This window comes from Homo sapiens, chromosome 1 (genome assembly GCF_000001405.40).
Source record: "Homo sapiens chromosome 1, GRCh38.p14 Primary Assembly".
Lineage (NCBI taxonomy): Eukaryota > Metazoa > Chordata > Mammalia > Primates > Hominidae > Homo > Homo sapiens.
In genome coordinates, this window is record NC_000001.11 from 46,798,749 (window position 1) to 46,825,915 (window position 27,167).

Consider the following 27,167-nt stretch of genomic DNA (forward strand, 5'->3'; position numbering starts at 1 on the left):
TGGTTATTATGCTGATGATTACACCAAGAATTGCCATCTGTTTGTTCTAAGGAATCAAGGTGGGATACCCATTGCCTGTTTTTTTTGGAGTCCACTATTAGGTTTCTCTTTAGCTGAATTTTGGGAGAAGGCCACTAGGCTCTCTCCTCTGTTGTTTGCAGTTTTGGAGGTTGCTGTCTCCGCCTTATGGCACTCAGCCCAGCCTTGGCTGCTGCTGGCTGCAGGGAGTGGCTAGGGCTGGACGCTGACAAGATGCATGGGTCCAGAGTATAAAGGAACCCAGGAGCAGCTGAAGGCAGGTCAGATGAAGGCTAGGTGGCTGGAACTGCAACCATGGTGCCCAGCTTCCTCTCCCTGAGCTTCTCCTCCTTGGGCCTGTGGGCTTCTGGGCTGATCTTGGTCTTAGGCTTTCTCAAGCTCATCCACCTGCTGCTGCGGAGGCAGACGTTGGCTAAGGCTATGGACAAATTCCCAGGGCCTCCCACCCACTGGCTTTTTGGACATGCCCTCGAGGTATGTGGAGGTCGGGAGGGTGGGGGAGAAAGAAAACATCCTCCCTCCTTTCAGAGAATCAGGCCTAATTCCCAGGGGGCTGTGGAGGGAGACTTCAAACTTGGGCAGGGGGATGATGTCCTGGGATCCATGGCTTCCATTCAGCTTTCCCACCGGAATTTCTCCTTCACTCCAGCCTTTCAAGCTGACTTCAGAAGTGGGGGCAACTTCCAAGTCAGGGCTCAAGCATGGCACAGACACCTTCTCCTCATTCTGAGGCCCAAAGTTTGGACCAGGTTCTGCTAAAAGCTCAGCAATGACAGAAAGGCAATGGCAGAAATCCAAAACCTCTGGATAGTACATAGAAGTAGGCAATCCATTGAAAGCTCAATCAGCGTCCGTGTTGTTGTGTGTAGTGTAAAGATTTCCATTTGTAAGGCAGGAAATGAGAGTGAGCATGAAGATGAGTACCGCCACATGACAGACCTCACCGAGTGTCTAAGCGGTTGGTGTCCCCAAAGGCAGGGCTCTCCCGGCCATGCCTATGGGTGGCTCAGGAGCCGTGACACCTTCCCAGGTTCAGATCATGGTTCGTCTTCCTGTTACTCCAGGGTGGGAACCACCTTAGCCCCTGCTCTCAGGAAGATCTCTTAGTTTCCTACTGTATTGGGGATCTAGACCAGAGGTTTCTAATTAGACACAGGGCAGGGAATTGGAATCAACTGGGAGGAGCAAATTCCTGGACCTCCAGTTCCTGGAGATTCCAATTTGTCAGATTGGAACTAGGAGTTTACATTTATAAACCTGTCCAAGTGTTAGTGTTTTGATCTGCAGCCAGCTTGGGGAATCCAGGTAGAGATGCCAGAGACTTTTCTTTCTTTCCCTCTCTTTTTCCTTTCCTTTCCCTTTCCCTTTCTTTCTTTCTTTTTTTCTTCTTTCTTTCTCTTTCTTTCTTTCTCTTTCTTTCTTTCTTTCTCTTTCTCTCTTTCTTTCTTTCTTTCCTTCCTTCCTTCCTTCCTTCCTTCCTTCCTTCCTTCCTTCCTTCCTTCCTTCCTTCCTTCTTTCCTTCCTTCTCTTTCTCTCTCTCTCTTTCTTTCTTTCTTTTTTTGATGGGGAGTTTTGCTCTCTCTCCCAGGCTGGGGTGCAGTGGCGCAATTTTGGCTCACTGCAACCTCTGCCTCCCAGATTCAAGCAATTCTCGTGCCTCAGCCTCCCAAGTAGCTGGGACCACAGGCACGCGCCACCATGCCTAGCTAATTTTTGCATTTTTGTAGAGATGGGGTTTCACTATGTTGGGCAGGCTGGTCTCAAACTCCTGACCTCAAGTGATCCACCTGCCTCGGCCTCCCAAAGTGCTGGGATTATAGGTGTGAGCCACCGCGCCTGGCTGACATGCCAGAGATTGAGGCTCAGAGTGAGGCAAGTTCCTTCTCCTACCTTCTGAACTCACTTTCCTCATTCTCAGTCTGGATGGGGGCACTGCTTCTCTTCCTTGATTGACACTAGAAATGAGCTTGACCTCTAGGCTTATTCTTGCCCTGACAGATAACCCTGTAACATGCATCCTGAAGACATCCAGGAAAGGAAAGTGTGGGTCAGAGAGATGAATCAGACCCAGGCCTGGGGTTCAAAGAGCTTACGGTCTGAAGGGAAAACAGACACCAGAGCCTTGCTCCCGAGCTGGGCGAGGTTCCTCCCCAGGATTCTGCCTTAGCCGCATTATTTTGATCTCAGCACCTGTCCTGTTGGATTGAAGTCTTCTGTTTACCTATTCAACTTCTGCACTAGACTTTGGCTCCTGGAGGATGGAGATCTGATCTGATTCATCCCTGTACCCTCAGGGTCCAGCATAAAGCCTAGCATAGTGTAGGCATCACTAATGAACCAGTAGTGAATGTTGGAGGGTAGGGAGAGTATCCACAGAGGAGAAAGCATGAGGGAGAAGAAAAGCAAAGGGACCAGGAGGGCTTGGGAGAGGCTTTGCTAAGTACACAAGAGGGCCAAGGGAAGGTTGAGGTCTGACGCTAAAAGGGTACAAGAGGTATTTAGAGAGAACTTTCTCCCTTTCTTCTTGTTCCCTCTCCACTTCTACCTGCCTTCGTCAAAGTTGTGTTTGCCCTCAGCCAGGGACTTCTTTAGGACAGGGACCTTGCACCCCCACCTCCATGTCAGAGCTGGCTGTTTTCTTCCCCTTAACGGCCCCCACCCCCACCTTGAGAGTATGCAGAGGGCCTGGAACACAGTCTAGCTTTGGCTTCTTGGCTCTAACACAACTGTCTGAAGGGCCTTCTCTTGGCATCAGGTTGAGCAGACAAAGGCTGGAGGAGTGACTACTTGTGGGAGCTACAAAGGTTTCCTGGGGAACCATTGCAAGCACAACTCCTGCAGTCCTCAAGGGCTTGGCACCTCTGTTCTTGCCTGGATTCATACCTGAACTTGAGAAATGGGTTGGGCAGAGAGGGGATTATTTTCCCTAATGTAAAAATGAGGACATTGAAGTTCAGAGAGTGCAAAGTATTTGTCTATGTCTGTTTAGTAGCTCAGGAGTTAGGTCGAGACTGGGCCCAGGACTTCTGCATTTTAATTCGTAATGTTGTCAGACCATAAAAGGTTACTGCAAAGTTGATTCTTAGGCCCAGCAATGATGGGAGTAGGAAGGGGAGGAAGACTGATGGGTAAAGGGACTGGGGGCAGGGAAGAGCTGTCCGTCAGGATTAATTTCTCCTTCTTGGTCTCTGATTACAGTCTGGAGGCCTTGGTAGCATCTACCTGTCATCCTCCTCAATTCTCAGAATGTGTCTTCTGGAGGTGGGGACATGTCCTATTCTTCCAGGGTCCCCCTCATTCCAGTCTAGGAACCAGGGAGGACTTTGCACATAGTAGGTGCTCAGCTATATTGTTGGCCTGAGGTTGGAACCCTTGAAAGAAGCCAACAAATTGGTGTGTGTGGGTGTGTGTGTGTGTGTAGAATGCCAGCTCCCAGATCAAGGAAATGAGATACTCTGAGACTGCAGAGGCCTCTTTCCCAGCCATGCCCTTTGCTGTGAGAGTGCCCTTGACCTTGTGCTGTGTAGTGAAGACAGGGCTGTGGCTCATTTTCATTCAGTAAACATTGATTACAGGCCTTCGCTGTGCCCAGTTAGCTAAGCCACTTTACCTCTCTGTGCTTCTGTTTCCCTGTCAACAAAGTGGAGATAATCATTTTTACCTTACTGGGTTAGAAGGGGATAGAAAGAGATAAAGTATAGGTATTTTGCAAACTACTGGGCAGATAAACGTCAGGTGTTAAATCATCATAGAGGGATTCTTGCTACAAAACACCCTGGGGCATTTGCTTTCTTCATCCCCTTCCTTCTTCTCAAATCAACCCAGTCTTTGTGAACCAGATATGGTCCCTCTTTCCTAAGCAACCAGCAGTGTCTGATCAACAACTCTGGGTCTGGTCCTATGCTGAGGCCAGAGGATGAAGAATCAAGACAAAGAGCTTGCCTCAGAGGAACTAGGTCTGTAGGAGAGATGAATAACACAGCACATGTGTTACCAATCTTTGGGCCTAGAGAAGGGCCCCTCTCGGCGTGGGGAGTCAGGGAAGGTCCAGGGAGGTGATGCTGAGGCACATTCTCAAAGATCTGGAGGTAGAAACCTGTGGCAGGAAGTGCAGAAGAAAAGGCAGAAGGTGCTCTCTGTGCAAAAAGGCACACAGGCTGGAAAAAGCAGTGTGTTTAGGAAATTAAATTGTCTTTTGGGGTCTAGGACATACCTGTGTTAGTACCTCAGCGCTTCTGCAGTGGTGACAGGGAGGACAGAATGGAGAGGATGAGGCTGGAGGTAGACGGGGCAGTCACACAGATCCTTGAGGCCAGGTCAAAAGGCTTTACCTTATTTTGAGGACGATGGGGAATGATGGAAGGAATTTAAGCAAGGGAGAGACAAGCTCAGACTTATGTTTTAGAAAGATCACTTTGGCTTCAAGGTGGCGAACAGATTGACAGAGGGCAAATAGGAGGCAGGGAGGCTAGGGTGGAGGTGATCCAGGCCTCCACCTTGTGTTGGGGAGTGAGCCAGTGGGCTGGAGGAAAGTGGAAGGTAGGGCAGGCCAGGTCTTGGCATGGTAGCCACAGGAGAGAGAGGCGTTGAGACCTCCACCATAGCCAGATGTGAGGGTCAGTGAGGGCTCCTCCATGTAGCAGGAAAAGGAAACAAGGATTACCCTTGGAGCTCTGTTAATTGGAGGCATCAACACAGCTGGACTAGAGCAGAATCTAGCGAAAGTCATCAAAGGAGAGCCATAAGACTGGATTGTAAACAGGAGGAATGAATTTCTATGTCTCAATTTTAAAATGTGGGCATCTGAGACCCAGGAAGAGGAGGCTCAGTGGTGGGCAGCACTTGTCAGTGTCTGGGTATGGGATCCTCGAGTACTGGTTTTGGAGAATTCCGTGGCAGAGTCTCCTCCCATGACCTGCTACATCTGGTTCTTTTTGCTCTGGTTTGCTGATTTCAATGTAAAAATCACTTGGTGGGCCTGCAGGGAGGAGGGGCTGCCTCCACAGGGCATCCCTCTTCATATTGATATAAACCATGGAGAAAACGACATTCCATATTCCTGGCTAGTTTTTGGGTGGGTGATGGTACCATCCCCAGGTTCAGTAGGAGAGGCAGATTTTGGGGACAAAAGTGTACGAACATGTGTATGAGTGTGGGTTTGGAAATGCTGGGTCTGAAGAATCTGGAGGGTGTCATGCAGAGAGTTCCGGGGGTTGATTATGATTCTGGACCTCAGGAGAAAGGTAAACTGGAAAGAGCTGTCAACTGAGAAATTGTTGGTAGGTAGATGGCACAGGAAACCACAGAAGCAGGTGAGAGCTTTCAGGGAGAAGACGCAAGGGAAGAGGCCAAGGACTGGATCTGGAGGAACAAAGAGTGGGTGAGGAGCTGCCCATGGCAGCCACTGGGAGAGAGGGGAGGACATCCAGGAGACAGTGCATGAGAGACAGGGAGTCAACTGGGCTCAGCGCCAGGGAGGGTGCTGGATTCCTTAGCAAGATCAGCATAGGAGAGGTGGGGCCATCACAAGGAATTGGAAACAGTGGGCACAGCTCTTTAGAGAAGTTAGATTATGAAGGGATGAGCAAATAAGGTGTTAGCTGGAGGAGGAAGCTGAACAAAGGGAGGTTTGGTTTCATTTTCTTTCTTTTTTTTTTTTTTAAAGTGAGAGACTTGAACAAATTTTGAATGAGGATGGGAAGGAGCCTGCAGAGAGGGTGAGGTCTGTGATTTGGGAGAGAGGGGCTGATTGATGGGTGAGGTGCCTTGTGGGGAGGGTTGGAATCCAGATGGACTGGTCTTGGACAGGCCCTGCATGCTTCTCTCCTGAAACAGAGGGAAACAGAGAGGCTGGGTGCAGGTGGGGTGGTCCTTCAGGTCTGCCAGCTGACTTTTTGGGGTTTCTTATCTGATGGTTTCTATTTTCTCTGGGAAGTACAGCAAGGGTGATCTGCCAGGAGTGAGGAGGGGAGAGGTAGAGAGGGCAGTTGAAATAAAAGTTTTTGAGAAGCAGATTGTGGCTGATGCCATGGGGCTTTCCAGAAGGCATTTCTGCTGATCTTTGCTGAAATGTCACCTTAGAGTGGCCTTCCTGACCCACCCCCATCCATAGTGGCAGCCCTGCCCCTTACTCTGCTTTTTTTCTTTCTGGAGTTATCACTACATGAAATTGTATTCTTGGTGTATTTGATTCTTTTTATTTTCTTTCTCCCCACTTGGAATGTATGCTGGTGGGGCAGGGCTTTGTCTTGCTCACCACTGTAACCAGAAACTAGCACTGTCCCTGGCACAATGCCCATGTGTTGGAAGAGTGGATGAATCTCTGGGGGGAACCAACTCTGGGCAGCAAAGCCACCCATGCGGACTGAGGACAGATGACTGCATCCCCTTGGACTCTTGGGCATTTCTTGGGTCCCTGCCTTCCTGCCTTTTTAGCTGTTTGGATGTTTTCCTGCATTCCTCCTCTCATCTGATTGGGTGCTCCTGAGTCTGGAGTTCACCTTTGGATGCTGAAGACAGGAGGGATGTTGGGGGCAGAGCACAGGCTTTGGAATCTAAAGACTGGGGCACGATGCTAGTTGTGTGACTTTGGGCAAAGCCCATCATCACTTCCTAGCCAAGGCATGGTGGCTAGAGAGTCCTGGTGACCACACTGATCTCACCCAAAGTCTCTTTGCTCCTTCTATTGAGCTAGGGGTTCTTTCTGTATGTTATCTGTTCACATGTACATGTGTAATGGTTTATTTGTCTTTGAAAGGGAGGATGGAGGATGAAGTCATGTTTGTCACCAGCATGGGAGGAAGTCACCTCTCTGCTCCCTGGGGTATTTTGCATTCGATCCCCTCTTTCCAGGCTCTCCATGGCTCTGTTCAACCTCACAGCTGAATCCCCAATGAGTTTTTGTACATTGAGTCTGCTTTTCCCACTGATTTTTATAGTTATTTCAGAGATGCTACATCTTCTCCCTTTTGGTTGTTTTTTTCTTGGCTTCTAGCTCTTTAGCTTTATTTAAAAGCTTGGCAGTGGCTTGGACTCATGCACACATGGAGCTCTGGTAATTTTGGGGTGTGGGGAGAGGGCCCATAGTAGGGAGACAGCTGAGACTAGGGCACCAAAGGGCACCTAAGGGTGTCCATCCTGAAGGAGAGCAGTCCTAGGGGGTTCTAGCCCCCAATTCCCAATCCCTGCAGGACTTCCCTGGGCAGTGGGAGCCTGTGTGGTCCCAGAGGGAGACCCATGGGGAAGGCTATGGGCAGGTGTCTTTCACTTTAGCGACTAAGAAGCCTTTTGAGGAATTAAGACTGTCCAAAGATGGTTGGGGTATTTTGAAAAGAAGTTTCCTGTCACTAGAGATGTTTGAGCACTTGGGCAGGGATTCTTACTGGGTGAAGGTGCTGGGCAGGCACCCTGTGTGCTGGGAATCCGAGACCGACATGACCTGCCTTGAGGGAACTATGACATGCTGCCGAAAAGGAAACCCCTTCGTCTTTCTCCTCCCTCACCTTTTGTTTTTCGAAACTCTTATCCCCATTTTGTGAGCAGACTGATTTTCATTCTGAAGCAGCCCCCTGGGGCACTGTAGCTGCAGCACACTGGTCAAGGGTAGCTTGTTTCTTGGACACTGGCCCACTGAGCTTCGGGTCAACTGGCTGATGGCTTGAGCAGGCTTGCTAACAAGGGCTGCAGAAAGAGACTAAGCCAGGATCCCTGGTCTCCCTTAACTCATGCTGGACTGTTCCCTTTGGTCTTTGTACCGCACGTTTCCACCTTTAAAGAGAGGTCAGGGTTCCACTAGGCAATGTTGAAATCCTTTTCCGATCTGATTCTTGGAGCAAAGCTTACTTTAGGCTCTTGAGAAGCAGAGAGGAAAGTGGTGACGTATGCTTGCTCTTCCCAATCCCTCCAGTGGTTTATTTCTGGTGAGGTCAACAAGGAGTGCCAATGTGAGGGTGGGAGGTGGGGCTGGGGAGCTGGGATCAGTGAATTATTTTCATACCCTGCTCTCTTCCTGTTTCCTTCCTTCTGGAGAAAAAACAAGCCGTCCCAGAACTTCCAGTCCTGTAAGTGTCCCAGCTCAGGCATTCTGAGGGCGAGTCTGAGGCATGCAGTTGTGTAATCCAGAGGAACTGTCCAGGCAGTCACGTGTACCCCACAGGGAGGATGCCTCAGCCCTCTTGAGGGGCTGCAGCTGCAATAGTGGGACCAGGTGCTGGGAGCTGTCCTCCTTCTTACCAGGCTCCCGGGGTAATCAAGGCAGGTGCCTGGCAGGTGCTTCTAGTTCTCTAGCTTTATTTAAAAGTTTGGCCATCGCTTGGGCTCATGCACATGTTTTTTATTTATCTTAGTTTTCTTTATTTCTTAAATAAATCTAAAGAGCTAGGAGAAAGCTGGGCACAGGGAGGCAGTGGCAAGCTGGCTGCGACCTCGATCAGGGCACAGGTTGTGAATGTGGTCAGCATGAGACCAGGGTCTACTGTCCCTTGTGGGGTTGCTGCAGAGGTGCACAAGCATAGCTGATAAGGAGGGAAGTGGGGCTTGGATGAACCAGATCAGCCAAAGGCTCCTTCCAATCCTAAGATCCTATGAGTCTGGCTTTTTTGTGACTTAAGCCTTTCCTTGACCCATCCAATTGGGCTTTCTGGACCTGGTAGGGATGGAGAGAAGGGGAATGGCCAGGTGACCAGGAAGTTGGCAAGGAAAACCCAGGAGGGCAGATGGAAAAATAAGACAGACACCAGGGAAAGGAGCACTTCCAGGGATACCAGCCAGGAGGGAGGCAGGCATACAAGAATGTTTCCCCTTGCCTGTGGGTGGAGATGATTTTTATCACTTTGTGTTCTTTTTGACATCGTGTACTCAAGGGCAGTGAAAACTCTTACAGCCCTGTTGGGTTGAACTCAGGATTCTGCGTTCAGAGGCAGTGAGGGAAGGGATCAATGGGATGATTACAGACGACTCCACAGAGGGCCTAGGAGGGGAAGAGCCCTAGAGAAGGCACAGACGGGTGGCTGGAGGCCAAAATAGGCCCAATCCCATGAGCCCTTGGAGATAGTGGCTTGGGCCAGAAAGGATCCCTGGGGGCTACATTATCAGATGCCTGTGTCCTTCTTTAAGAATGTTCCCTGGAAGATACAACATGGATGTCTTAGTCCTTTGTGTTGCTGTAAATGAATACCTGAGACTGGGTAAAAGGTTTATTTGGCTCACAGTTCCACAGGCTGTACAGGAGGCATGGTCAATATCTGCTTCTGGTGAAACTGCTATTCATGAGGAGGAGCTTTAGGAAACTGCTATTCATGAGGAAGAGCAGACATCACATGGCAAGAGAGGAGGAAAGGAGAAAGAGAGAGAGAGAGAGAGAGGTGCCAGACTCTTTTTAACAAACAGCTCTCAAATGGTATTTCTAGTTCTAGATCCCTGAGGAATCGCCACACTGACTTCCACAATGATTGAACTAGTTTACAGTCCCACCAACAGTGTAAAAGTGTTCCTATTTCTCCACATCCTCTCCAGCACCTGTTGTTTCCTGACTTTTTAATGATTGTCATTCTAACTGGTGTGAGATGGTATCTCATTGTGGTTTTGATTTGCATTTCTCTGATGGCCAGTGATGATGAGCATTTTTTCATGTGTTTTTTGGCTGCATAAATGTCTTCTTTTGAGAAGTGTCTGTTCATGTCCTTCGCCCACTTTTTGATGGGGTTGTTTGTTTTTTTCTTGTAAATTTGTTTGAGTTCATTGTAGATTCTGGATATTAGCCCTTTGTCAGATGAGTAGGTTGCGAAAATTTTCTCCCATTTTGTAGGTTGCCTGCAGCCCTCCCATTACTGGGTATATACCCAAAGGACTATAAATCATGCTGCTATAAAGACACATGCACACGTATGTTTATTGCGGCATTATTCACAATAGCAAAGACTTGGAACCAACCCAAAGGTCCAACAATGATAGACTGGATTAAGAAAATGGGGCACATATACACCATGGAATACTATGCAGCCATAAAAAATGATGAGTTCATGTCCTTTGTAGGGACATGGATGAAATTGGAAATCATCATTCTCAGTAAACTATCGCAAGAACAAAAAACCAAACACCGCATATTCTCACTCATAGGTGGGAATTGAACAATGAGATCACATGGACACAGGAAGGGGAATATCACACTCTGGGGACTGTGGTGGGGTGGGGGGAGGGGGGAGGGGTAGCATTGGGAGATATACATAATGCTAGATGACGAGTTAGTGGGTGCAGCGCACCAGCATGGCACATGTATACATATGTAACTAACCTGCACAATGTGCACATGTACCCTAAAACTTAAAGTATAATAAAAAAAACCCAAAAAACAAACAAAAAACAAAAAAATAAACAATATGCAAAATCCTTAAAAAAAAACAAAACAAAACAAAACAAAAAAAAGCTCTCATGGGAACTAAGAGAACTCACTCAATCCTGCCAGAATGGCCCCAGGGCCATTCATGAGGGATCCACCCCTATGATGCCAACACCTCCCATGAGGCCCCACCTCCAACATTGGAGATCAGATTTCAAAATGAGATTAGGAGGGGACAAATGTCCAAATTATTAAGGTTTGGACATTTTTCCCTTCCTAATTTGTTTGGATACTATCAGTGAATAGGTGGCAATTGTGAGAGAGAATTTTACGGAGAGAAAAAGCAGGCCCAGCACAGGCTCAGGCCTCAACAGGAATTTTATGGGACTGTAACCTAACCTCTCTATTCCTTAGGCTCCTCTTCCCTAAAATGGGACCACTTAGAGTTGTTGTGAGGATTCAATCAGGTCAAAATGTAAGGTGCTTAGAACAAGGTCTAGCACACAGCAAGTGCTTAATAAAGATTAGTCATTACCATGCCTCCCCACAAACTCCAGAGCTTGGACCTTTTCCAAGGCCCCTGGGCAGGCCACTAGGAGTGTTAAGTGTATCTTTGAAAGACTCCCACTAAATGGGGAAAAATAGTTAAATACATTATGGTACATCCTTATAGTGAAATACTACACAACTGTTAAAAATAGTAATGACAGTTAAGTGCACTAGCTTGGAAAGGAGGACAAGTTATGTTCAATGAAAAATGGCTGGTTTTGCAAAAATATTTATTGTATAACTTCATTTACTTAAAACACCTCTGGGTGAGTAAACGTGACTAGAAAAACCTCCAAAGGACATGTACCACCCTCTGGATGACCTATTCAAGCTCATCCCAGGTGACTGTCCCACCATGGGGCAGCTCCTGGAAGACACCATGATCTTTCCCAACCCAGCGCGTTTGTGCTTTCTGTTTTCTCACCTGGAATGCTTTTCCTTTATGCTTCACATGGCCAGAGACTCACCATCCTTCAAGTTTCACCTTAAATGTTGTCTCCAACAAGAAGCCTTCCAAGATTACCCTATCTAAGCAGGCCCTCCCTGTTAGTGTCTCTCATAGCACTGTTTTTATTCTGAGCACTCACTATTGTCTGTGATTATTTTACTTAATTGTCTACTTGTCTATTATCTGTCTTCTCCATAGAATGAAAGGGCAGAACTTGTCTGTCTCATTCCCCTGAGATGTCTAGAACAGAGCCCTGCACATGTAGGCCCTCAATAAAAATGTGTTGAACGATACGGCAGGGGTGGAATTGAGGCCATTTCTCTATTGCACAATGAGCAAATATTACCTATCTTTATAATTAAAGAGCTTTAATGTGGAGAAGAAAGCACTTTCTGGCTGCAGTGCAGTAGAGAGTTGGTGGCAGGTGCTAAATGGAAGCAGGTTGGCTACTTTGGGGATGTTGAGCTAACCCCGGTGTGAGAAGAGGGCGGCTTGGAATTAGAGCAGTGGTTGTGGGGCTGGAGAGGGGACTAAGCCCAGGGATGTTTAGGAGAAGAGGGTGCAGGAGAGGTAAGGAAGCAACCAGGGCCTGCCTGGGCAGCCTTCTCCCCTGCCCTCCCAGGGACTTGGGGCCTAGCTGGTGACAATGTGTTCCTGAGTGACCTTGGCCTTCTGTCATCATTTCAGATCCAGGAGACGGGGAGCCTGGACAAAGTGGTGTCCTGGGCCCACCAGTTCCCGTATGCCCACCCACTCTGGTTCGGACAGTTCATTGGCTTCCTGAACATCTATGAGCCTGACTATGCCAAAGCTGTGTACAGCCGTGGGGGTGAGGAGAGAGGATGGGGATCTCAGGAGAGGGTGGGGCTTCCTGAGAACAAAGGGCTCAGGGCATGATATGGGGAGGAAGCCTGGGCCTGTGTACTAAGTCTGCGGAGCTGAGGTTCCCACCCTACTCATAAATGAGCCTCCTCTAGGAACCCCGGGTCCCTGCTTGACCTGATTGTCTCCTCCTGCAGACCCTAAGGCCCCTGATGTGTATGACTTCTTCCTCCAGTGGATTGGTGAGTGAGCACCTGCCTTCCCTGCCCTGCCAACCTCAGACCCGTGGTGCTGGGTGACTAGGATCCTGGCCTGTCCCACTCAATTGGTTATCCCAGATGGCCTAGTTCTCGGGTGCCCATCCTAAGCTCAGCTGCTCAGTGGAGAGACAAGGGAGGAGCAGGAGAGCCCCCAGCTGTGGGGCCAAGGCATCTTCTCTGGCAGGGCCTGATTCTCTAGACAGGGCAAAGGCTTTGGAGAATGTGTGAGTGCGAAGAACAGTTTCCTGAAGGAGGTGGCACTAGAGTTGATCCAAAAGGAGATTTAAATAGGTAGTGCTGGCCAGGGCAAGGGCCTAAGGAAATGGTGTGGTGGTAGGACCACGGCTGGTCACCAGAGGCTGTGAGGCTGTCGGGGTGGCTACAAGGCAGAGCCCAGCTTGGAGATGATGCTGGGCAGGGAGGACAGGCCAGCCTTGACTGCCAGGATAAGGAGGTGATTTGATGTTGAGAGTAGGTGGGAGTCATTGAGTATTTTATTTTATTTTATTTTACTTTTTCCTTTACAGAGGTACTCAAGTTAAAGCCATTGAGTATTCTTTAGCCAAGGCCATATGCTTCTCCAAAGCTCCTCTTTTACTCATGATCCTATGGTGTCTTCAGCGTTTTCCTGGGAGCTGAGAAAGGGCAGGGCCAAGAGGGAGAACACATTCCCAATCCTATTTACTCACCGAGTACCACTGGGAAGACTTTTTGCTTCTAACCCTCTTTTTAGTTATCAATGGGAGGATAAAATTAGAAGGCAGACAGAAAAGGGTTAGGAAAATGAAGAGGTGGTTTTGAAGACAGGAATGCATTTCCATTGCTGGGTGTGTTGGAGTGGGGTAGGAAGGGTCCCACCTGAGGCCATGAAGCACGAACACGGTGGGACATTCCCTAAGTCCTGAAGCTGTGGCCAGTCTCAGCAGCTGAGAGTCAAGGCTCAGCAGGCTCCCCCTCTGCTTGGCTGTCCCCAGGGGGATGCGTGTCCTTTGTCTCACATCTGGCAATGTCATCTGACACAAGTTCCTGGACCCAGGCTTTGTGGGTGCAGCTGAGATACAGAAACTGAGTTATCCTGTCCTAAGGAAGGAGCTCACTCAGCCAAGAACTGCTGCCACCTGTCTCCTGAGGTCCTGGTAGCCTAGGGTGAGGGCATGGAGGGCAATACTGGGTCGCTTAGTGGCCCACCCTTGGAGGGTTCCAGGCTCAGGGATGGAGTCGTGTAGGATGTGCTTAGCCCCAGGCTGCCAGGGCCTGGACTGACCAGCCCTCTCTCTCCCATCCCTTCCCCAGGGAGAGGCCTGCTGGTTCTTGAGGGGCCCAAGTGGTTGCAGCACCGCAAGCTGCTCACACCTGGCTTTCATTATGATGTGCTGAAGCCCTATGTGGCCGTGTTCACTGAGTCTACACGTATCATGCTGGTGAGCTCCCTGTGCCAGAGTACTGGAGGCTGTTGCCTGCTGGGCTAGCCCCTCTCCACCCTGATTTTGTCCTGGGGAGAGTAGGTGGTGCTCTGCAGTAAGGAGAATAGCTGAGCCCCAAGGCCTGTTCTGCCTGCAACAGCAGTGCCAAAGCCCTGCTCTACTGACATGTGCCGCAGGCTGCCACTGAGTCGGTGCTGAATCTCTAAGTGTCCTGGCAGCCCGATCCTTGTCTCCACCAGGAGACCCAGCCCTCTTTCCTCCCAGGCCAAAGGGTCTCTGTGAGAACTTAATAAGGCTCCTAGCATAGCAGGTTTGAGGACTGCCTATATTTGAGAGTATGGGGAAAGGCTTTCACATCTAAAACGTGTCTCCTCATTTTCTGTCTACCACAGCTGCCCAGAATTATGTCAATACAACTCATCTCTAAGAGGGATGTCAGAGGTCAGGGTTAGAGTCTTAGGGCTGGGTAATCCCTAAGTTATCCAGGCTAGTCTTTCCCCTTGTAGGAAACTCCCCTCCAGGATTACTTACATATACACCATGCGGGGGAGCTCACCACCTCTCAGCCATCCTACTCCCTTATAGGCTGCCCTGACTGGGAGAAAACGTCTGTGTGCTGTGCAAGATCTGCCTCCTGGTCCTGCCCTCTGAGCCTGAAGCCCAGAGGCTTCCAAACTTCTACCCACCCTATCCTGATATTCCAGCAGGATGGAGGGCAGGACAGGGACTGGGAGTGTGTGAAGGGGGCTTGGTGGTGGAGGATAGGCTACGGGTCCTGGAGGGCAGCTTGGGGCATCCAGCCCAACTAACCCCTGCATCGCCTCCTACACATTGCCTCCTATCCCTGGACTCCAGGACAAGTGGGAAGAGAAAGCTCGGGAGGGTAAGTCCTTTGACATCTTCTGCGATGTGGGTCACATGGCGCTGAACACACTCATGAAGTGCACCTTTGGAAGAGGAGACACCGGCCTGGGCCACAGGTCAGGAGCCACCTCGGGGCTGACCGCACTGTCTCCAAAGCCATCTTAGAGGGGAGAGTTGGCAGGGGTCCTGGGCTCTGATCTGAGAAGAGATAGGGTCCTGCCCCAGGGAGCCTTAGCTTGCGGGGAGACAGGACCTGCTCATGGTGGGGTAAACACCTGGCTTTAGCAAGGAGGCTTAAGGGCAGGGAGAAGAAGAGCAGGATGCTCTGTGGTTGGGGCTAGATTCCTGGAATGGAGTTTCTCTGGCTCTGCTCCTGGGCCAGTGTCTAAGCCAATCCCTCCTCCTACCCTCTGCTTAGCAGGGACAGCAGCTACTACCTTGCAGTCAGCGATCTCACTCTGTTGATGCAGCAGCGCCTTGTGTCCTTCCAGTACCATAATGACTTCATCTACTGGCTCACCCCACATGGCCGCCGCTTCCTGCGGGCCTGCCAGGTGGCCCATGACCATACAGGTGGGCCTTTCCCACAAGGCTCACCTCTAGGAAGCCTGGGTTCCTCCTCCTGGCCCCTCTATGCCCCCTCCCATTATAGGACCCCAGTTCCCCTTTGGACAAAAGATGGCTTCCCAGGCAGTGACACTCTGTGCTTTTGGTTCAGACCAGGTCATCAGGGAGCGGAAGGCAGCCCTGCAGGATGAGAAGGTGCGGAAGAAGATCCAGAACCGGAGGCACCTGGACTTCCTGGACATTCTCCTGGGTGCCCGGGTGAGTACATTGTTGCCCACCCCTACCTGAGGACTGGTCCCAGAGAGGTCTTCAACCATCCTCCCAGGACAGCAGAAGGAGCTCTTAAGCATTTCCCCCTTTCCTCAGCAAATATAACCTGTTCCTCGTCCCATGAAACATATTAGCAGGGGTTCAGAGGTGGGCAGGTGTAGGGTGTGTGTGCCTGAGCTGTGGAGTTGGGAGCCTAGGTCACGTGGTAGTGGCTGGACGACATTTCTAGACTTCTAAGATCCCCCAAAATGTTGGCCTTGTAGAATCCTAGAATCTTAGACTTCATTCATTCATTCATTCATTCAGTAAGTTCTTTATTCATCAATTCTAGAAACTCACTGAGTTCTGACTCTGGGTCATTTCCGTGCTAGGATGCAGAGATGGGAAAGACCTGGCCCTTCCTTCCAGATGCTTACAGTCCAGCAGGGGAGACAGTAGGTAGATGTTGACCAAAATGTCTTCCTCTGGCAGGTGGTATTCTATGTGCCCAGTGAGCAGAACAGTCAGGGCTGGACAAGGTCACAAGTCATTTGGCCAGAGCATTTAGGGAGGGCTTTGTGGAGGAGGAGGCATCCAGGCTGAGCTTTGAAGGAATATAGGAATCTGGGGGAAGGTCCTAATCCACCCTCTGAAAAGGAGCTTTCACTCCCTCCCAGAGACCTTCATTTGACAACCACCATTATGAGTTCTTCTTGTTACCCACCTCCAATACCTCAAGCTGTCCTATTATGCCTTCCCTAACCCAGGATGAAGATGACATCAAACTGTCAGATGCAGACCTCCGGGCTGAAGTGGACACATTCATGTTTGAAGGCCATGACACCACCACCAGTGGTATCTCCTGGTTTCTCTACTGCATGGCCCTGTACCCTGAGCACCAGCATCGTTGTAGAGAGGAGGTCCGCGAGATCCTAGGGGACCAGGACTTCTTCCAGTGGTGAGTCTGAGGGTGGGCCCGGTTTATCCTGCTCAGCCCTTGGGAAGGGCGATGCCCATCCTGTCCTGAACCATCCTGGAAATCAGGTGAGGTGGCGGCTGCTATCCTGTTACCCCCAGTGTCATACCTTTTGTGGTGGTGGGGGGTGGGGAGAGTGGTTGGCTGGGCACAGATGCACCCCTGAGCCCATTCTCCCAAAATGGAGCCTTTCAGAAGTGTTATGTAGAGAAAGTTGTCAACAAGAGGCTGATATTTTGTGTGCTAACTTCTTCTGACGGTAGAACCTGATTACCCTTCTGGGTCCCTGGATAGAGTAGGGAGAGCTGGGAGAGAAAGAGGTGGAAATGTGGGGGTGAACAGAGCTGAGACAGCTGGGAGAGCCAGTTCCTTGCTACTTGCCTTTGGATGGCAATACTCAGCTTCCAGATGCCATATCTCTCCTGCTGGTGAAGGAGAAAAGACTTCCCCAAACTTCATCACTTAAAAACTTTCCATTGTTTTCCCCTGTTTCTTGGCTCAAGACTGAACTCCTAAACACTTAAGGATTGACCCTGACCTCTCTGCAGTGTGATCTCTGGGAGTCTCTCAAGAGGCTCCTTCACCCTTGCTGGCTGCCTGTTCCCCTCAGGCCTTTGCTTGTGGTCAGACAACCTGCCTTTCTCTCTGGGCTCCTGAGCAGCCTCCAAGAGGGGGCTAGGCACACAGCAGGGGTACAGAAAATGCTGAGCCAGAGGGGGAACTTTAGATCCACTTGAAAGGGACTGACCTATAACTCCAGGGTCTAGGACCTGGAGTATGAAGCCTCCATTACCATTTCTGTTGGTCATATGTGAGAATCCCCCCCCCACGGGGTATCCAGACACATGCCAGGTGCTATCAGGGGTGCAGAACGGAAGAGAAAGAGAAGCCATGCTGCTCGTGGGGAGTTTTATGGAGACAAATTCACATAATCAAACAGCGAGAGAAAAATCACAGGATCACGTGGTCTGAATGTTGAGGGCAGAGGGAAGGAGTGAGGCTTGAACTGACTTTCTAAGGAGGGTTAAAATTCAGGCAAAGAGAGAGAGGTAGGCATTGTAGGCTGGGTAACAATGTGAACACAACCCGAGGCAGGGATTAGAATATTTATTTTATTTTCACGTCATTCCATCTAGAGCTTGAAGCAACTTAGAGGACAGTTATTCAATAAAATAGTAAAATGCAAATGAAAAATAAGAGCCAGTGGGGAGTTTGGGGACTCTGCAATAAAATATTGCCCTGTAGTTATAGTTGGATGTCACATTTGGGCCTGAGCTTCCCGGTTGCCAAAGGGAAAAGACACACACACACACACACACACACTTCACCTCATTAAATAATGCATCAACTTTGGTTGGTTCATTCAACCAACGTGTATCAGCCCCAGTTTCTTTCATTCAGCTCAGTAGGGGAAACCAAGCTGAAACCTAAAGAACTGTCCTTTGTAGGCTTCCATGGGGGTCCTGAGAGTTGCAGAAGTGACCTTGTCTTTGATGGCTGGGTGCACCTTCATCTCTAGGGTCCTGTGCCTTCTTCTCCTACCAGTGAAGATGAGAAAGGGATGGAGAAAAGTGGAACCAGATCCTTTAGATCTGAGTGTTCACACCATGTCAGGCCTAGCCTGGCCAGGGGCACTTGGAACTCTGTGCCTCTGACTCTTGAGTGTGTGGTGGTGGTGAGGGAGGAAAACTGGGGCTGGGGTCTGCTTTCTCGCCAAATCCTGTTGCTTCCCATTCCAAGAATGTTCTGGTTGTGTTGCTGGCAGGGATGATCTGGGCAAAATGACTTATCTGACCATGTGCATCAAGGAGAGCTTCCGCCTCTACCCACCTGTGCCCCAGGTGTACCGCCAGCTCAGCAAGCCTGTCACCTTTGTGGATGGCCGGTCTCTACCTGCAGGTGGGATGGGTGGATTTGGGGGTGGAAAAGGAGTCCCTGCATGCTCCTCTGGCACCCTCTGTGCCTTTAGTCAAATCTTTGCACTTTTGGGGAAGAGCTCAGGCTTTGCGTTCAGAGAGCCCTGGGTCTAAATCCCAGCCCCACAACATATTGATCAATTCTTCTACCTCTGAGCCTCCATTTCCCCTTCTGTAAAATGGGGATGAGAAGAGTATCTATGTTTCTAGGCTGCTGTCAGGATTAAAGAGAATGTTCACCAAGGCTGCCATGTACCACCATGCAGGTCATGCCCTGAACAGCACCAGGGAGCAACACTCACATAGACTATGATGCTGTGCAGTGTGCAACCTGCACAACTGTATGTGGTAGCTTCATAAAGAGTGTTAAGCCTGTACCTGGTTCATAGCAAGCACCTGGTGAATGATAGCTGTTACTGTTGGCAGTATAATATTATGAATAATAACTTCCCAAGAGTCAGTTAGCTGAAAAGGTTTAATAGTTCCTTCCTGTTCTACCTCATGATGGATGGGTTCATTCTCCCCTTTATTCATCTCACAAATGTCTATCAGGTGCTGTACCCAGTGCCGGGATTACAGGAACTGGGCATCATGATGATCAAAGTACTGTGATGAGTCGGATGTGGTCATGAACGCTCTGTCACTGGCAGTGGTCAGGCAGGAGCTGGCACCCCAGTTAAGGGGTCACTAGGGGACTCTGACCTTATGTGGAGGTAGGCCTGGCTACCCAGGACTACCTGGTCACCAACCTCTGTTCTGCCCACAGGAAGCCTGATCTCTATGCATATCTATGCCCTCCATAGGAACAGTGCTGTATGGCCCGACCCTGAGGTACCCTTTCCCTGGGCTGGGAGATCAGACAGGGTGGGGGACTGGGAGGGTCACCCTCTGCCAGAACCTGGCGAGTGTTTAAGCAAGGCCTGTCCCTTCAGGTCTTTGACTCTCTGCGCTTTTCCACTGAGAATGCATCCAAACGCCATCCCTTTGCCTTTATGCCCTTCTCTGCTGGGCCCAGGTATGGAGAGACCCAGTATCCCAGGCCCTCAGGACTGGGGAGGAGAGGGTGGATGACATCATAGGGGAGGCACTATTAGAAGGTACTCTGAATAAAGGGGAATCATGCTGGGTTTGTGGTGGTTCTAATGCAGGAGGCTTCTTCTTGCAATTATCATATTCCTGTCCCTGGGAAGTGGGTGGGATAGATGAGTCATTCCAAGAGAGAACCCCATGCCAGACCCCCACCATGTGAATCTACCTGGTCTGGGACCCTCACCATGCTCCCAAGGTTTGTTTCATAAGCCCAGGTCAACCAATCTATCAGCCAGTTATTCATCCAAAAACAGTTATTGACTTTTGTTGGCTGCTAAGAGCACTGAATGTCATCACTCTGGATGCTCCATTGCACGATGACTCTTTGTGCTGCTTGCTACAGGAACTGCATTGGGCAGCAGTTTGCCATGAGTGAGATGAAGGTGGTCACAGCCATGTGCTTGCTCCGCTTTGAGTTCTCTCTGGACCCCTCACGGCTGCCCATCAAGATGCCCCAGCTTGTCCTGCGCTCCAAGAATGGCTTTCACCTCCACCTGAAGCCACTGGGCCCTGGGTCTGGGAAGTAGCTCTGATGAGAATGGGGTCCCAGATGGCTCAGGCTGTGACCTCCCTGGGCACCACCCTCCCCAGGCTGGGTGTGGAGGAGTTGGGGCCCCCTGCCTTCAGGAGGCTTGTAGTTTAGAAGGGAAGTAGGCATTACCATAGACGACTCCTAGAGGACAGTGCTATGTAAAAATGTGTGTCTATAAATGTTTATCATGCATGTATTCTAGAGCTCATTCATTTATTCAACAAACATTTGGTGAGCACCTATTTCGTTCGAGAAACTTCATTTATCTCCTATAATTGGCAAACTTAAAAATGCAGCAGAAACTTACATTCCAACCTTAGAGACTCATAGTGAGCACAAGGAAAGTTTTGCCCTGAGATTCATGGTTATGGCTGGGTACCACCAAATAGAAGAATGGCTTAGGGGAGTGCCCCTTCACTGAGATGTGTTTCTTTGTTGAACTTTGTGTGTGTGTGTTTAGAATATAACAGACATAAGAAAAAATTACCTAAATGAAGACTGTACAAAATAATAAATAATTCTGAAGCAGACTCTCTTGTAACCATCACTGAAGTCAAGAAATATGGAATATGGTATCACTGATGTGTCTTCTGCTCCTCCTGAGATGGGTCTCTGTGGCACCCCTGCCATTGTCAGTGTCTGTGTCTCACAGTCACGTGGTGCTCCAGGCATTCAGGGTTCAGCTGGGGAAGGTGGCCAAGTGGCATTAGAAGGGGGTTTCCTGGAGGAAAGGAACCCCTCTCCCCCACTTGAATCAGCTTAAATCAGGCCTTGAGGAGGCCTGGGAGGCTGGATGGGAGGGGGCCATTATTCCACTTCTGTAGGAAGGGAAGGAACCTGTAAGACACTCATCTGGGAGGAGCTTGAGCTGAGGCCTCTGATTCTGGCCTCTTTGACCAAGACTCCATCATTGTACTGACACTCTCCGAGAGTGTGTGTCAGTGTGAAAAGGAGCTAAGAGCTTTGGTGTGAGAAGGGATAGACAGGCTCCCTGTGGGAGGGAGATAGGAGGCTGGGGAATGGTGGGCACCAAAGATGGATTCCATTTAATTCTTCCAGTTCTCTAAACACACTCTGCTGCCTCCTATGATCCTGGACATGTGTGTACATGTGTGTGGGTTGAATGTGGAGTGTGCAATGGACACATACAGGTGTGGCTGTGCCTGAGTGTCTCTATATGGTGTCATGGAATGTGCACAGATGTGCACTCAGCCTGAGTCTTGCCCATTGCATGGACTGAGCAGGTTACTTTTTGGTCGCTCATTCATGCCCTATGGGATCCTGTGGTTAGAGCAACTCTCCATGGCTGACCACCCAGAATTCTGAGCCCCCACTGTCCTTTGTTCTCTGAGCATGGCCAGCACGAGCCCTCGCGTGCTATCTGATACTAGGGACCTGCTGAACATCCTGTGCAGGAAGTTCCCAGCCCACTCTTCTGTCCCAACCCTCTCCCTCTGACCCCAGTCAAGCACTGACTGTCCAGGCTGCTCCTTTCCTGCCTCTTCTCAGAGCAGGGCTAAAGTAACCCAGTGATTTGGGAGGTCAGGGGACTGGGAGGGAGGTTCTGCCTACAGCCACCAATTTAGGGAGAAGCCCTGTCAGAGAAGCAGAAAAAGATGTCACATCTTAGTAAAAAGAAGGTCTGTCTATGGCATTCAGGGACCTGGGCTAAAAATGGGGGACACCTGTGCTCAGATCCAGCAAGAGAAGCAAGGTCTAAATGGAGAGAAACTGGCACAGCAGGGACACCAGTCCAGTGAAGCTGTGAGAAGTAGGGGACTGGGTGTTGAAACAGCTCCAAGGCAGTCACCAAGTGTGGACAGGGTTGAGGATGTCCCTGTTCACTCGGAGTGGCCAGCCAGAGAGGCAGGAAACCACCACAAGGCTGTGGTGTGGGGGAGGAAGTGCTTGGGGTCCGACATCCTCTCCACTGGCCAGACCCATTTGTCTACCTTGGCTCCTCCCAGACCTTGCTGGATAGCTGCCCACTCTGTGAACTTCCTGAAGAGCCTGCAGACCTCATGTGTGAGGGAGACCGACAGGTGCCTGGTCATGTGGCCAGGCTGGGCTCCCTTTTCACGTCTCATTGCGGGTATGAGAGGCTGGGTCCTTGAGGCCCTCATGCCAGACCAGGCCTGTGAGGCTTTCCTGCTCAGCTCACAACAGCCCTGCTGGTTGGGATGTGGTGTGTCACTGCTCAGACTCTGGTTGCTAACTTGATTCCCAATGTGGCAGTGTTTGGAGTCTGGGCCTTGTGGGCAGTGTTTGGGTCATGGGGGTGGATCTCTCATAAATAGATTAATGTCCTAGAAGAAAACCAAGGCAATACCATTCAGGACATAGGCATGGGCAAGGACTTCATGTCTAAAACACCAAAAGCAATGGCAACAAAAGCCAAAATTGACAAATGGGATCTAATTAAACTAAAGAGCTTCTGCACAGCAAAAGAAACTACCATCAGAGTGAACAGGCAACTTACAGAATGGGAGAAATTTTTTGCAATCTACTCATCTGACAAAGGGCTAATATCCAGAATCTACAAAGAACTTAAACAAATTTACAAGAAAAAAACAACCCCATCAAAAAGTGGGCGAAGGATATGAACAGACACTTCTCAAAAGAAGACATTTATGCAGCCAAAAGACCCATGAAAAAATGCTCATCATCACTGGCCATCAGAGAAATGCAAATCAAAACCACAATGAGATACCATCTCACACCAGTTAGAATGGCGATCATTAAAAAGTCAGGAAACAACAGGTGCTGGAGAGGAGGTGGAGAAATAGGAACACTTTTACACTGTTAGTGGGACTGTAAACTAGTTCAACCATTGTGGAAGTCAGTGTGGCGGTTTCTCAGGGATCTAGAACTAGAAATACCATTTGACCCAGCCATCCCATTACTGGGTATATACCCAAAGGATTATAAATCATGCTGCTATAAAGACACATGCACACGTATGTTTATTGCAACACTATTCACAATAGCAAAGACTTGGAACCAACCCAAATGTCCAACAATGATAGACTGGATTAAGAAAACATGGCACATATACACCATGGAATACTATGCAGCCATAAAAAATGATGAGTTCATGTCCTTTGTAGGGACATGGATGAAGCTGGAAACCATCATTCTCAGCAAACTATCGCAAGGACAAAAAACCAAACACCGCCATGTTCTCACTCATAGGTGGGAATTGAACAATGAGAACACTTGGACACAGGAAGGGGAACATCACACACCGGGGCCTGTTGTGGGGTGGGGGGAGGGGGGAGGGAAAGCATTAGGAGATATACCTAATGTTAAATGACGAGTTAATGGGTGCAGCACACCAACATGGCACATGTATACATATGTAACAAACCAGCACGTTGTGCACGTGTACCCTAAAACTTAAAGTATTAAAAAAAAAAAGATTAATGTCCCCCTGCAGAGGCATATGAGTTTTTGCTCTAACTGTAAGGGATTAGTTCCTGAGAATGTGGGTTTTGAAAGGAGCCTGGCTTCCTCAGTCTTCCGTGCTTCCGCTCTCACTACGTGAGGGTCCTGGGTTGTAGTTTTGTTTATTGTGCTTGTTTTGTGTTGGTTGACCTTCAGCCAGGAGGTGGCACTTTAAAGAGAGCATCATCTGTGGTAGTATAGGGAGGGGCCAGCCATAGAGCTCCCAAGAGATTATGTCCTTTGTCTTTGGCTACCAAGGTGAGTAGAGAAAAACTATCAGGTGGGCACAGGGTTAGGCATGTCTGAGCTCAGACTCTCCTTGGGTGAGGCTTGCTGCAGCAGCTGTGGGGGATGGGAGTGTGGTTCTCAGGCCAGTGGAATTATGTTCCCAGGGGGATTATGGCTGCCTCTGCTGTGTCATGCAGGTTACCAGGGAAGCAGGGAAAGCCATAATTATAGGCCTTACCTAGCTCCCATGCAGCCCCAAAAGCCTGTCTCATTCCCATTATGCTTCACCAACAGCACTGAGTTTATTTCCAGGCAGTGGGTGAGCAGGGCTGAGAAGTTGCCCCAGGTTGCCAGCCTCCTGGCTGAGAAAGCAAGCAGGGCATTCAGGTTTCATGCTTCCTCACCTGCTGTGGCTTCTGTGCTGTGTCTGTACTCCCAATTTCCCCCTCCCCCAGGTTCTGTCCAGGAAACTTCACGTTCAGTCAAATTTATTACGAAGTTCGGCTGGAAATTTCCTTCTTTGTGTGGTCTTTTCCCAGTTCCTCTGGCAGCCCTCCCTAGGGACTCCTATGAGACAAAGTCAGAAATGGCTTCTTTGGGGACTGAGAGTGCCCAGTGCTTCTTCTACCCCTGTATTTCACTCAGCTCTGTAAATTCATCTCAGCTCCAGGTAAGGTCAAATCCTACTCCCTCGATCTGGACTTTCAGTTTTCCCAATGAGGGTGTGTGTTCAGGGGCAGATGAGTCCCCTTTCACACTTTAGACACTCACAGTTTTTTGACTGTTTGCCGGGGCCTGCAACAGCAATCTGCTTCCTTCAGAGGGTCTGGGGATTCTGTCAGCTTTCCAGGTGTTTTCCTGCACTAGTTCTTGGAACAAAAATTCATGATATGAGTCTCCATATGCTACTCTGTCTGTCTGAATGGGAGCTGCAAGTTATTCCTGCTTCCTGTTTGCCATTTTTTCCCCCAATCAGTGTATATTAACTTTTAAAAATTAGTGAAACATACAGAACATAAAATTGGACACTTTAACACATTTTAATTTCATTCCATTGGAGAAATTGGTTTCATAACATCCATAGCATGCCTTTTATTCATTCAAATCCATGAAAATTTCAAAAAAATTATACTTAATATTAGTTATGATCTTTTCCCTTTTATAGGTCTACCTTTAGCTGCCACCATAACATCTGCTAAATTCACACTGCAGTCTTGTCTTCAATTGCCCAGAGAAGGTCCTACAGCAATTTCAATCCAACTTCAGTCAAGTACTATAGCTATAGTGGGAACATGTTTACTAATTCTTTTTCATTCTACAGTAGAGAAAGATTATACAACCAGAACTTTACACTCTTTTTAGGAGCCCTGACTGCCTAGTTTAGTACAATCTGTGCTGAACACAAAATGATATTTAGAAAATGATTGGTTTGTCAACCTGAAGTCAAGAAGCTCTACTAAGAGTAACCGTTGGTAAGAACTAACCTTTCTGGCACTTTTACATACCTCTATGTGAGCATTTTCTAAAGCTTTATTATTCTAATACTCTGGATCCATTATTCATCATTTAAATGACAAGACTTTTTTTTTTAAATAAGACTTTTAAAAACTCTTTTACTCTATCCTCAGTAATATTGGAAGCCTTACAGTCATAGATGTACCATTCCTGACCCGTGTCTATTGTAAAGAAAAAAACAAATCTGACTTTTTGAAATCACTTTATATTAAATAGTTGAAACAATTTTCATCTAAATAATGAACACTGACTTTACCCCAGGTAAGGCTTGTTAAGGTGACAGAGCTGGTAATTGTGTAGAACTTAGACTTATAATCAGAGGTGCAACTCTTCTGCTTAACCATATGTTCATTAATGATGAGAACACATAGACACATAGAAGGGAACAACAGACACTGGGTCCTATTGGTGGGTGGAGGGTGGGAGGAGGGAGAGAATCAGGAAAAATAACTAATGGGTACTATTTATTAATAATACCTGGGTGACGAAATACTCTGTACAACAAACTCTCATGACAAGTGTTTACCTATATAGAAAACCTGCACATGTACCCCTTAATTTAAAATGAAAGTTAAAAATAAAACAAACAGAAAAGTTTATTATTAATCAACTCTTATTAGTTATTCCTGTTTAATTAGCCATAGCATTCTTAGTATTGTACAAAATTGCACAAAAAGTTTTAAGACATACACAACTTTGACAAGGACCTAGTGTTATTGCCCCCATGGACTGCTACAACCATTTGCAAATGCTTTCAAATTGTTTCTTCAAGAATCATTGTACCTGTGAGAGAAGCAGCTTGCCACTGCAAACTCTGTGAGACAGTCAAAAAACTGTGAGTTCCCAAAGTGTGAGAGGGGGAAAAGTCTGTCTCTGAACACATATCTCCACTAGAGAACTGGAAAGTCCAGAGCATGGAGAAGGATTTAACCTTACCTAGGGCTGACATGGATTTAGGGAGCCAACAAAATATAAAAGCAGAAGCAGCCATGGGAAGGGCCCTATAGGCACTGCTGGTCCCCAGCTTGAGCCCAGGGAAGCCATCCTTGACTTTACCTCACAGGGATCCTTGGGGAAGGCAGCCAGCAGAATTGGGCAGGGATTACAGGGTGAAGGAAGCTCCTAGTTGAACTTCTTTTTTTTAATTATACTTTAAGTTCTAGGGTACATGTACACAACATGCAGGTTTGTTACATATGTATGCATGTGCCATGTTGGTGTGCAGCACCCATTAACTTGTCATTTACATTAGGTATTTCTCCTAATGTTATCCCTCCTCCCTTCCCCCACCTCATGACAGGCCCCAGTGTGTGATGTTCCCCACCCTGTGTCCAAGTGTTCTCATTGTTCAATTCCCACCTATGAGTGAGAACATGTGGTGTTTGGTTTTCTGTTCTTGTGATAGTTTGCTGAGAATGATGGTTTCCAGCTTCATCCATGTCCCTACAAAGGACATGAACTCATCATTTTTTATGGCTGCATAGTATTCCCTAGTGTATATGAGCCACATTTTCTTAATCCAGTCTATCATTGTTGGACATTTGGGTTGGTTCCAAGTCTTTGCTGTTTTTAATAGTGCCACAATAAACATACGTGTGCATGTGTCTTTATAGCAGCATGATTTATAATCCTTTGGGTATATACCCAGTAATGGGATGGCTGGGTCAAATGGTATTTCTAGTTCTAGATCCTTGAGGAATCGCCACACTGTCTTCCACAATGGTTGAACTGGTTTACACTCCCACCAACAGTGTAAAAGCATTCCTATTTCTCCACATCCTATCCAGCACCTGTTGTTTCCTGACTTTTTAATGATTGCCATTCTAACTGGTGTGAGATGGTATCTCATTATGGTTTTGATTTGCATTTCTCTGATGGCCAGTGATGATGAGCATTTTTTCATGTGTCT

The 27,167-nt window shown here is 48.4% G+C and overlaps 1 protein-coding gene across 6 annotated transcripts; it reads left to right on the forward strand.

Annotated features, from left to right (window-relative positions):
• CYP4B1 (cytochrome P450 family 4 subfamily B member 1) lies at positions 298–20,665 on the forward strand. 6 transcript variants are annotated; one of them, NR_135003.2, is made up of 12 exons: positions 298–513; positions 12,060–12,201; positions 12,392–12,436; positions 13,748–13,875; positions 14,734–14,858; positions 15,234–15,315; positions 15,461–15,567; positions 16,326–16,516; positions 18,300–18,433; positions 19,217–19,281; positions 19,383–19,465; positions 19,883–20,665. NR_135003.2 is itself a non-coding variant. In NM_001099772.2 (12 exons), exons 1-12 carry the CDS (start codon positions 334–336, stop codon positions 20,064–20,066), a joined length of 1,539 nt encoding a protein of 512 aa, NP_001093242.1. In that variant the 5' UTR covers positions 298–333; the 3' UTR covers positions 20,067–20,665. The 6 variants fall into 6 exon arrangements, 5 of the variants coding, with proteins under 5 accessions (NP_001093242.1, NP_000770.2, NP_001306090.1 ...); NM_001099772.2 differs by having other exon boundaries at positions 15,161–15,315; NM_000779.4 differs by having other exon boundaries at positions 15,164–15,315.

Bases quoted from the DNA above. Each gene is read 5' to 3' on its own strand.
- CYP4B1 (NM_001099772.2), top strand. From the start codon at position 334: ATGGTGCCCAGCTTCCTCTCCCTGAGCTTCTCCTCCTTGGGCCTGTGG. The intron at 514-12,059 runs GTATGTGGAGGT...TCATCATTTCAG, and splicing joins TTTTTGGACATGCCCTCGAG to ATCCAGGAGACGGGGAGCCT. The intron at 16,517-18,299 runs GTGAGTCTGAGG...TGTTGCTGGCAG, and splicing joins GACCAGGACTTCTTCCAGTG to GGATGATCTGGGCAAAATGA.